Consider the following 11,977-nt stretch of genomic DNA (forward strand, 5'->3'; position numbering starts at 1 on the left):
AGTCTAAGATGCCGCTGAAGGCTTTACATGGGAAATAACAATATCTGATTTCCACTTTAAGAGTATTCTGAGTGATGCATGAAGAACAGGGGACATGAATGGAAATGAGGAAACACTAATAGTTCAGGTAAGAGATAACAGTGGCCTGGACTTGAGGCAGTGAGATGGACAGAAGCAAGTGAAGGTGACCTGGTAGGACAATGATAGACTGGATACAGAAAGGTAAAGAAACAAAAAATAAAAAAAAAAACAAAACACAGCACTACTTCTTGATTTTACTTCTAGGAATGTATCCTAAAACAGTATCAGATATGTACACAAAGACATATAACCAAAGATGTTCACAGCAGTGTTTTTTATAATAACAAAAATAATGGAACAAATCTAAAAGTCCATCTTTAAGATTTAAGTAGACAAAGTCATCCATCCAAAGCAATGGAATATTATGCAGTCACTTAAAGTTATGTAGCTATATAGTTAGGAACAAGAATTACTGGCTGGACACAGCAGCTCATGCCTGTAATCCGAGTGCTTTGGGAGGCTGAAGTGGGAGGATGACTTGAGGCCAGGAGTTCAAGACCAGCCTGGGCAACATAGCGAGACCTTGTCTCTGCACAAAAATCTTAACAATTAGAGGGTGTGGTGGCGCACATCTGTAGTCTCAGCTACTCAGGAGGCTGAGATGGGAGGATCGCTTGAGCCCAGGAGTTCGAGGCTGCAGTAAGCTATGATTGCACCACTGCACTCCAGCCTGGGTGACAGTTTAAGACCCTATTTAAAAAATAAAAATAATAAAATGTAAAAAGTATAGATATTATATATATGGAAAGGGACAAGCTACAAAATACACAATACAAATATAGTATAATTCCATTTTTAAATAGTATAATCTTACTTTTATATATAATCATATGCACACGCACAATGATCTGCAATGCTGCAAATGCACTACAAAAAGTTTAGAAATCTACACATTAAAATATTAAAATACTAGATGGCTTGGATTTAACATTTCATAAATAAATGTTTTATACTTTCCATACCTTCTAAAATCTGTTCAAAATCTGTACTACTTTACAATGGAAGGAAAAAAGTAATTTAAAAAAATACTGACCAGACATATGGACAACAGTAATTGATTTATTTTTCTAAAAATAATTCTAAAAAAATTGTGCAAAGACCACAATTAAGTAGACTGTAAGTAAAAGTTTTAAATGAAAACTTAAGATACATAAATCTTAAATTGTTAAAAACTGAACGGTCACAATTTTGCTTGCAATATCAGTCTAACATGAGAATTTGGGGGAGGAGGAGAAAGACTGCAGAACAAAGCAGATATTCAAATAACCAGTATATAATAATTATTAAGACTGCATAAAAAGATCCCTTCACTGAACTGTAAAAGGAGCAATTTGGACTCCCTTGAGATTTGACCTCAAGAGCTATTCATTTTATTTTACTTAAGTTCTTGGTTCTTCATAAAGCTCCCCCGCTGCCAAGTTGCAAATGTAACAGATACCAAAAAGGACAGAAGACTGAGGACCTCTAAGGCACAGTTAAAGGTAGTCATTTTGATTTCACATCATCAGATGTATTCTTACCAAGACCAGATGTTCTATAAGGCCTTTACCACTGGAAAAGGGCTCAGTTTATTTAAAAATATCATGATTACCTCATTCCCCAAAGACAAAACTTTTGGTATTTGAGACTACTGTAAACAAACCCCAGAAAATCACCACCCAGATTTAAGTTTTCTGAAGATTCTGATGGATTTGCTTCATCACATTTTACTGGTGACTTTAGTCATCCTTACTTACAACAGGCCTACCAAAGAGATGGCTGGCTGTCTCCTTAGCACGAAGATACAGCTCCAAAATTTGTTCAGGCCTTTCAAAGCCACCACTACCAAGGTTTCCACCTCAGCATTCCCACGTGCTTGTTTCCCTACAGAGAAATGTCCAGTGGTTCTATCTTCAATCTCTCTTCTTTAAATAGCACGAAGATGTCAATTCAAAATATTAATCCAAAGTAATAAAAATGTCAGAAACAACTCACGTAAAAAGCAAATGAGATCTTCTGGTGTTATTATATAGATCTGTCTATTCTGGGCATTTCATATAAATGGAATCATGGCATATATCGCCTTTTGTGTCTGGCTTATTTCACTTAGCATAATGCTTCCATCTACGCTGTGGCATGTATCAGAATTCCATTCCTTTTGATGGCCAAATATTATTCTGTTGTATGGACATACCACATTTTGATGATCTATTCATGAAATCAGACACACCTGGGTTATTTCTGCTTTTTGGCTGTTATGAATAACGATACTATAGACATTTGTGTACAAGTTTTTCTGTGGACAAATGTTTTCATTTCTAGGAAAGGAATTGCTGGGTCATACGATAACTCTATGTTTAACTTTTGAGGAACTGCCAAACTGTTTTCTAAAGCAGCTGCACCATCTTACATGGTTTTTCACATTCTTAACATAAACTTAAGAGATGTCAGACTTTCATAAAAGTGGGGGATTTACTCTTATCAAGCTCATTTTGTGTGCCAAGTGTTATGCCAGAATTTTATTTAATTTTCTCAACAGCTCTATAATTCACAAAGTATATTCGATCCCAAAAAATGTTTATAACCCACTCAAAAATAAATTATTTAGTAAATGTCAAACTAGAGTCAAACCCAGAGTTAACTTCAAAGCCTGTCCTCTTTACCCTACACCATTCAATCTCTACACTTAGATATACATACATTGCCTCATACCCAAAGTAGTCTTTGGAAAAGTTGCCTGTTAATAAAACTTACTTTAATCATTGTAAAATAGAAGGTTCCCAGTGTAAAGAGATTTCTAGAAAATTTAACGGATATCTTGTATAAATCAATCAACCCCCCTAATTTATCTTCTTTAGTAAACAACTTCTGGTTACTTAAAACAAAACTTATCTAAAGTTCACCTAAATATTAAACAAATTATTTTCTTCCAAAGTTGTATGCACTGACAAAAAAAAAAAATGTAGTTATCTTCTGCTATAGACTGAACTGTGTTCCCCTAAAATTTATATGTTAATACCCTAACCCTCAATGTGACTCTATTTGGAAAAAGGGCTTTTAGGAGGTAACTAATGTTAAATTAAGTTATAAGCACAGGGCCCTAATTCAATAGGATTAATGGCCTTATGAAATGAGGAGGAGAGAGAAATCCCCCCTCATCTCCCCGACCCCAGGATTCCCATACCCACCCTACCATGTGAGGACACAGAGAGAAGGATATCTTCTGCAAGCCAGGAAGAGAACCCTCACCAAAACCCATCCATACTGGCAACCTGATCTCTGACTTCCAGCCTCCAGAACCTTAAAATAAATGTCTAGGCCGGGCGCTGTGGCTCCCACCTGTAATCCCACGAGGTCAGGAGATCAAGACCATCCTGGCTAACACAGTGAAACCCCATCTCAACTAAAAAATACAAAAAAATTAGCCAGGCGTGGTGGCAGGCGCCTGTGGTCCCACCTGCTCAGGAGGCTGAGGCAGGAGAATGGTGTGAACCCGGGAGGCAGAGCTTGCAGTAACCTGAGATCGAGCCGCTGCAATCCAGCCTGGGCGACACAGTGAGACTGTCTCAAAAAAATTAATAAATAAAAATAAAAAATAATTTTCTGTTGTTTAAGCCACCCAGTCTATGGTATTTTGTTATGGCAGCCCACACTAATACTTCAAGAGTATCATACACTACCCAGTGATTGGTATTTGAAGCACTGATAAGAATCAAAACAAAGCAGGGCTGGGGGCGGTGACTCACGCCTATAATCCCAGCACTTTGGGAGGCTGAGGTGGGCGCATCACGAGGTCAGGAGATCAAGACCATCCTGGCTAACATGTTGAAACCCCATCTCTACTAAAAATACAAAAAATTAGCTGGGCGTGGTGGCACGCGCCTGTAGTCTCAGCTACTCGGGAGGCTGAGGCTAGAGAATTGCTTGAACCCAGGAGGCGGAAGCTGCAGTGAGTGGAGATCATGCCACTGCACTCCAGCCTGGGCAAGAGTGAGACTCCATCTCAAAAAACAAAAACAAAAAAAGAATCAAAACAAAGCAAGCACTAAATGGGGTAAAAATAAATTAAACCAATAGAGATGCATATGCTTGTTACTTGAAAATATTTACAAGTTCTTTGGTCAAAGAGACTTAAAAACAGATTGATGGCCCTTTCAGTAATTCAGAATTTAATCATAAAGTCAAGTAAACATGGTATCCTCCAAAGGGCTTAGAATTTAGACAATCCTGACACTTGTAGCCACTTCCAAGCTCTGTGTTAGAATAAGAAATAAATTCTGGCCAGGTGAGTTCAAAACCTGCCTGGTCCACATAGCAAGACCACATCTCTACAAAATAAAAATTAAATTAAAATTTAAAAAAGAACAAAAGAAAACCAAATTCTACACCTATTCCTGGAGTCAGGATGTGAGTTTTTGCTTGCTTAATTAAATTATGTTATTAACATTTAGTATCCACCAAATACTACACTACACCCTACAATATCCAGTAGAGCTTCTAGAACACTACAGGTATTCCAAAAATGGGGTTGCTAGTGAACAGATTCTATAAAAGAGCAACGCAGTCAAAGTCAAACACTTACACAGGCCACCCACTATTTGCCAAGTATTTTGCTAGTACCATGAATATAAAAATGCTAGTATTTTGCTAGTACCATGAATATAAAAATCCTCTTCAAGGAACTTACAATGAAGAGGGACAAAAAGAACCACATAATTATAAGACAGAATAAATTCAATAGCAAAAAAACATGTAAAGTGCACTGGAACACACAGGAATAGTGGGGGACAAGGGGGTTGGGGGAGCATGTTAGGGGCAAGTCAAGGACTATATCCCAGGTCTGACAAGGAGTCCCCTTCTTGTTTCTAGTCAGGAAAATTTCGTAAACCCTTATCTGAAGAAGCATCCACTGAAGTACAGCCTCAGCTCATATTCTCTAACTTTTACTTCCACTTAATTCCATTCATCAATTTCAAACAAGGAGGAGAAAAAAGAGGAAAAGACAACTTTAAGTTGGCACAAGTAGGGTTTAAATACCCTTTTACTCCCCTACAACCATATAAAAATTGAAATCACATTTTTTCAAATCTTTCTTACACTCATGATACAGACTAGATATTTTACAAGTTATACAATCACCTGTTTTAAGCCTTCTGTAAGATAAATCACCAAAACCTATTCAGTATGTAATTTCTTCTATACCAGCCAAATGGTGCCTCCATAGTTATTTTGCTTAATCCAACTGGGCCAACAAGGTATCCAACACCTTGAATACTGAATAAACTTTAGTGAATTTTCTCTATTAATCCACACTCTTCTTCAAGATTTATTCACTTAGTAAATTCCTACAATACTGACATTCAAAAAATGAAGATTTGGCTCTTGCTCCTAAAATAAACCTCTGTGGGAAAGTCACACATCCAACAGCTACGAGTATAAATGAAGACCCATGGGAACAAAGAGACTACTATTTGTATCCTTTCATGGATATCTCACTTGACACTTCACAAAACAATCCTGTGAAATATAAGATTATCTCCTTTTTTTTTTTTTTTTTTACCAGTTTACTCAATTAACAGGTCAGCATATAAAACCTGGATCTTCTGACCCTTGATTGTACCACACTCTGAAATGTATATAAAATTTATGATTACCACAAATAAAGATACTTCAAAGACCCTAAGGAAGGAAACACAGAAGAAGGGAACAGCTTCCTCACCTATAAAATAATAAAAATGTGGTCTTTTTGACATCCTTGAGCTAAATAAGGTCGCAAGGTGGAGCCCACTGCCCAGAAGTTTTACCCAAATAGTCTAACATAGAAATAGGCCTGGAAACAGGAGGAGTAACATAAATTTAAGGCTTACCAGTGTATAAAGTACCTTCTATTATCATTTGATCCTCACTACTCAGTTAAGAATTATCTCTATTTTTACATATTTTTTAAAAAGGCATCAGTGAAATAATGTGATTACTTCAAGGTCACCCAGCTAGTAAATGGCTTGGACAAATCCTCATAACCCTACTATACCTTTTTATATGAGAAAGTCAGAGTAGCTAGTGGAAGCCTGGACTATTTTAATACGGATCCAAGAATGTAAATACAAAATCTTCTGAGCTCTCCTTAGCCACCAGGCTACATGCAACTATTTTAGATCAGACAAGCTCCTCTTTCAGTTAAAAAAAAAAAAAAATCTTAAGTAACAAACCAACTAATTTTAAAAATGCACTTAAAAGGCACACACTGTATGTACATGCATACAAACGCATTCACATACATACACGCACACTTTAATCACAAAGCATCTTACACTTTTGAAACATTGCATAAATGAAAAATAAGAATAGAACTAAACAGACAGGACACTAAAAGTACCAGCTTTTTGGTCTCAACCTTTCCACTGTCCTGTATAAGTAATATGCTTTTTCATTTTTTAAATATTCATCTTTAAGCAAAATATTAACAAGTAAATCTATATACTGCATTTTACTCAAATGCCTATGACCGTTTCAGGAACATAAACTATTATTCAGTTCTCTTCTGTATAAGATTATACACAGTGATCATGCTATTCCTAAAATTAAAGTCATCTGACAGATACCACTAATAGTTATACCGTAATATATTCATCATATCCTCTGTTCAGGATTCTGACCGACTTAATTGGAAATTCCTGTTCAGGCATTCCTATTTCTGGATGGCCTTTGAAACATCAGAACTACCTCTTAATATAACCAAAAAGGACTCAACTTAAAAGACTAACATTAACGTCCCACAGGACTTGAAAGCATGAAGACTAAGCATATATTAATATAACCTGAAAAGCACTTCCTAAGCACCAAAATATCCCAAAGAATATTCCAAAGACTTTTGCAAGCAGCACAAGAACGTTTTATCCCATACCAATCTCACTTTTACAGGTATCTAAGCAAATCTAAGTACTACCTAACCACCTGCCAAATAATCCAGTACCTTCCAAAGTGAAAAGCTGACCCTCTTTCCTGCTCTTATTCAAAATTAGCCTACGAAGAATTACTGTAGACTGCTTAAATAAACTTTTCAGACCTGTGTACCAAGTTCTATATTTACGTTACTGGAAAACATCAGCGTGGTTCCTCTCTCTCTACACTTCATAAGGAACAGAGCAAGAAAAGAGCTTGAAAAACAGAAGTTACTTTTTATTAGAAAAGGAATTTTCAAGTGAAGACATAATTTACCTGTGACAGACTGACATCTATACATGACAGTGATTAAACTTCACTGAATACCCAAAACGGTAACTTTTTTTTAGTTCACAATCTTTGAATTAGACAACTATTCCTGTTTTTATTTAAAAATAACCCACTTTCGGCCAGGCACCGTGGCTCACGCCTGTAATCCCAGCACTTTGGGAGGCCGAAGCTGGTGGATCACGAGGTCCGGAGTTGGAGACCATCCTGGCTAACATGGTGAAACCCCGTCTCTACTAAAAATACAAAAAATTAGCCGGGCGTGGTGATACCCGCCTGTAATCCCAGCTACTTGGGAGGCTGAGGCAGGAGAATCGCTTGAACCCAGGAGGCGGAGGTTGCAGTGAGCCGAGACCGCGCCACTGCACTCCAGCCTGGGCAAGAGAGCAAGACTGCATTTAAAAAAAAAAAAAAAAAAAAAAAAAAAAAACTTTCCCTGTTTTATATTTCTCAATGTTAAGATAAGTTTACCCAAAGTTTGAAACAACTGATAACTTCTGGTCTGCAAGATCCCTACGGCATTAGATCTCTAAAACAGAAACCAACAACATATAATATTACAAGATATAACAGTATGTATATTATAGTTCCTGAGTTTAAGGACATCAGTAACTTGATTTAAAAAAAAAGAAGTCATGCTCAAACATACGACTCAAAGTTTTCAAGCCATATTTTACAAAGATTGTGTTTTTTGGTTCGTATGCTATAATTACTATTTAAACTCATCGCTTATATTTGAAAATAACTTGTGTGAAATCATCAAGGGAAAAGGGGTCAGTCGCCTAGAGACACCACATTAAACTCACTCTTTAAGGCCATCATAAATACAGGTAACTTGGAATCAGAAAAAAAAATTCAAATTCACAGTAAGCCTAAGTAAAAATTCAACAAAGATATATCACAATATATATATAAAAGCAAAATGGAAACACGTTTAACCTTGATAGAAAAAAAAAATGAAAAGCAAAGTTTAAAATGGAAACTACCGAAATTGAGAAAGAATTCCAATGACATGACATTTTCTTGCCAAAGCGAAGGAATTTGTAGATTATATCATTCAAATCTCATTGTATTACATTATAAAGGTCTTAGCAACGGTTGGCCATTAATCTTTAACACAAAGGAGATTCAAATCCAAATGAACTGTAAGACTATCTCTTCCAGGAGAGAGAAATGGAGTAATTTACTTTATCCACAATTGTTTAACCCAAAAGGAAGGCCTTTAAGGATGATAACGCAGAATGGATCAGCCTTCAGTCTACCAAGTCCCATTTCACACGAAGTCTTGCACCAATCCGAAAAGAGAAGGTTATGGACACAGAACAGGTTTAGGAAAGGCTGGAAAAAAAATCTCCAATGAATGACACACCACATCACGGTTTATTCTCCTACACAATTTGAGAAACAATAAAGAAAAATATCATACCATATGTTTCATCGTATCAATTAAAAAAATATTTTACGACAGTACATTCAATTCTTCGGGGCCGCAAAAATAATTTAGCTCCTGTTTTATTGAGTACAGAGCAAAGGGAAAAAGCAGCTGCTGCAATGCAACACAGGCTGCTACAGAGAAAGGGGAGAAAAGGCTTTTCCAAACAGATCCCTTCCCCGCCCCCGCTTACACACCCCTACCAACTTACTTATCCCAGTCTTTTACTGCCCCCACCACGTGAACCTAATCAATTCTTTCCCTTCCCCCACCATCGTGAAATTTCACCTTTCACAGCTCCTTCACCTACCCCTACCAGAGGCACTTTATTACCCGCAGAGATTTCAGACCTTTCAAACTTTTCTTCCTTTTTTAATTAAACACGAGAGTTCGGAGGCAAAAGTGCATGAAATTTTTACATATATACGAAAAAATACCTGTTTCCCAGCAACACGCACGCTTCGATTCTCGAACCCCTCCCCATCTCCCGGGTTTCGCTTGCAAAGGCTTGGGGGAGGGAGCCAGGCGCAAATTAAATTTAGGAAGGGAAATCCTGGGTGAAAGAAGAGCATTTGAGGAAAAATGAGAGAACGATGAAGCGAGACCCCCAAACCACACGGGTTGGGGAGGTTTCCAAGAAAGAAAGAGAAATTGGAAGGGACAAAAGGCGGAGGGGGGAGGAACAGACCGGAGACCAGGGGAGACGCGCCGGGCCGGGAGAGGGAAGGCGGGGTCCGAGGAGAACGGGGGTCGCGGCTCCCGCGGCACAATGGCCCGCCCGGCCCCCGCCCCGCGCGCCCCTCACCTCATGGTGCCGGCGGCGCAGAGGCTTCCCCACCAGCCGGGAGACGCAGAAGGCGCCGAGCCGAGGGGGGGGTCTCTCCTCCAGGGGTGGGGAGCAGCTCGGAGACGGGAGACAAGTGTCCGGCTCCTCCTTCGGCGGCCAGGGGGCTACACCATCTCCTCGCACAAAGCCGAGGCGCCGGCCGGGAGTGTGGGAGAAGAGGGCGAGAGAAAGGCTGGGGAGGGGGCGGAGAGGCCGAGGCGCGGAGCTGGTCCCCAGGCGGCCGCCGCCTCCCACCTCCTCGTGGTCCTGCTCCTCCTCCCGGAGCTTCCTCGGCCGCCCTCTGAGGGGTGCCCGCCGGGGCCGCGCGCCCGGCCGCCGCTCCACAGGCCCGCGCTCGCCGCGCCGCCGCCGAGGCCGTGTGCAACCGGCAGCTGCTGCAGCCGCGGGAGGAGAGTCGGGATCGCCGCGAGGAACCCGGGAGGAGGCGGGGCGCGCGGCGGAGGAACACGCAGGCGCCGCCCTCCTCCCCTCCTTCCCCCGGGGGCGAGGGGGCGGTGCGGGGGGAGGGGAGGAAAGGGGAGGCGGGGGGCCGGGCGCACTCCCCCGCGCCGGCGGCCGGGCCCCCGCCGGACTGCGGAGAGCGAGGCTGGGAGAGAGCGAGCGCGACGGCGGCGGCGGCGGAGAGAGGCTCTTTGTTGCCTCCCTACCCCGCCCCCTGCACCCCTCTGGGATTCGGGCGGGCCACCACCCCCCCCTCCCGCCCAACACCTCCGGCCAGTTGTCGGCCGGGGTTCCTCGCCCGTGGTTGTCCTTGACCGTCGGCCCCCTCCCCGTCGCCTCCCGCTCCCCAGAGGCTTGGGGAGCTCCGAGGCCTCCCCCACGGCCACGGTGCGGAGACCGAGGCGCCGAGACCTCCTGGGCGCCAGACCCGTAGGCACCGGCGTGGGGAGCTTGGACGCGTGACTGGGCACAGGGCCGGGCCAGGAGACTCCGGGTCGGCTCGCGGCCGGGTGCCCTCGCGCGGGGCGAGTGCTCAGCCCGCCCTGTTGCGGTCTCAGGACGGGGATGAGGGAATCGGGGGGCATCCCGGTCAGCCCAACTGCCCGCCCTCGCCGCGGCTGCGCCCAGCGATTCCTGCGGAGTTGAGGAGGGGCATATAAATGGAAAATATGGTCATCATTGTTCCCTTCGCTCCTTTTCTTCCCGAGGAATCCCAGCGTGCTGCGCCGATGGAACGAGTTGATGTGCACACTAGGTATAGGGATGACTTCATCCCCAAACGAACGCAGCCGACTCTCGGGGAAACGCAGTCGCCGGGAGACGCGCGCGGAACAGTGTGTTGCCGCAAGAGTGGAAGAAGAGAAACGCAGCCAGTGGAGCCGCTTTCCAGCGTCATTAGCAAAGAGGGAATCCCGGGCAGGGGGCGGGGAGAGAGAGGAACTAATGATAATTTTAAATTTTTCGTCATTCCCAATGGTCTTGAAGTCACCTCCCTTAAAAAGTAGATATAAAATACTGGCGAGGCAATTTCATTTCAAGTCAAGTCGGGGAGGAGGGCATCCAGGAAGCCAGAATTGATCGTTGTTGAAGGTTTTGTTTTCGGTTTTTTTTAAATCTAAAAACAAATCCAATAATAAAATTTTTAACTGTACGAATTACGGCCCCCTTTTAGTCCGGAAGACAGGGATGTACTTTCTGTATAAAAGGTGAGGAGGATAGAAAAGGGTTGTTGCTACAGGGATCCTATTGCTGAAGGATCTCATCCAAAATGGAGGACCTACCATGACTCCAGGAATCCATTCAAAAGTTTTGGTGTTTTGTTTTAAGATGCAGGTACCATTCAAAAGATAGTTAGGAAGGTTGGGATAATGTACACTTCCAAATGAAAAGACAGGTTATAGTGATCCGTGGTCAATGCCTGATTTGTCTATAATTGAACTGTGTAGCCCATTTTTAACCATAAAAAAAGCTTCCTGGTTTCAGCCGGGTGCGGTGGCTCACGCCTGTCATCTCAGCACTTCGGGAGGCTGAGGCAGGCGAATCATCTGAGGTCAGGAGTTCCAGACCAGCCTGGCCAACATGGCGAAACCCTGTCTCTACTAAAAATAAAAAATAAAAAAACAGCCGGGCGTGGTGGTGCACGCCTGTAATCCCAGCTGAGTCAAGAGAATCGCTTGAACCCGGGAAGAGGAGGTTGTAGTGAGCTCAGATCACACCACTGCACTCCAGCCTAGGTGACAGAGCGAGACTCCATCTAAAAAATAAATAAATAAATAAATAAATAAATAAATAAATAAAATTCCTGGTTTCAGAGCTCAATACCGAGTTATTTTCTTTTTGGAACCGGCAGCCTTAGACCAACAGCCCTATAGAAGCAGTGACCCGGAGCTATGGCAGAGGATCAAGGTGGCCTCAGGTAGTAGAAAGCATGATGCCTCTGCCTTAAACATGGTGTACTTGAAGAACGC

General features: G+C 42.2%; 1 protein-coding gene across 34 annotated transcripts in view, besides 1 other annotated feature; it reads right to left on the bottom strand.

The window, feature by feature from the left end:
* ENAH (ENAH actin regulator) overlaps positions 1-10,720 on the bottom strand; it is a 167,050-nt gene extending 156,330 nt beyond the window's left edge. For 17 of the 34 annotated variants that reach the window (XM_017001752.2, XM_047424938.1, XM_017001751.2 and 14 more), the window contains exon 1: positions 9,804-10,720. In XM_017001752.2, coding sequence (XP_016857241.1) covers positions 9,804-10,594 — 791 coding nt within the window. In that variant the 5' untranslated portion in view covers positions 10,595-10,720. Of the gene's footprint in view, positions 1-9,159 lie in introns of all 34 variants that reach the window. The other 17 variants (NM_001377483.1, NM_001420162.1, NM_018212.6 and 14 more) reach the window with 5 other exon arrangements.
* Positions 9,815-9,944: a silencer, noted in NCBI's record as "silent region_1858". NCBI's record gives its function as "represses an Ori minimal core promoter by ATAC-STARR-seq in GM12878 lymphoblastoid cells {active_cell/tissue: GM12878}" and the evidence as "EXISTENCE:reporter gene assay evidence [ECO:0000049][PMID:35858748]".

Source organism: Homo sapiens, chromosome 1 (assembly GCF_000001405.40).
Source record: "Homo sapiens chromosome 1, GRCh38.p14 Primary Assembly".
Lineage (NCBI taxonomy): Eukaryota > Metazoa > Chordata > Mammalia > Primates > Hominidae > Homo > Homo sapiens.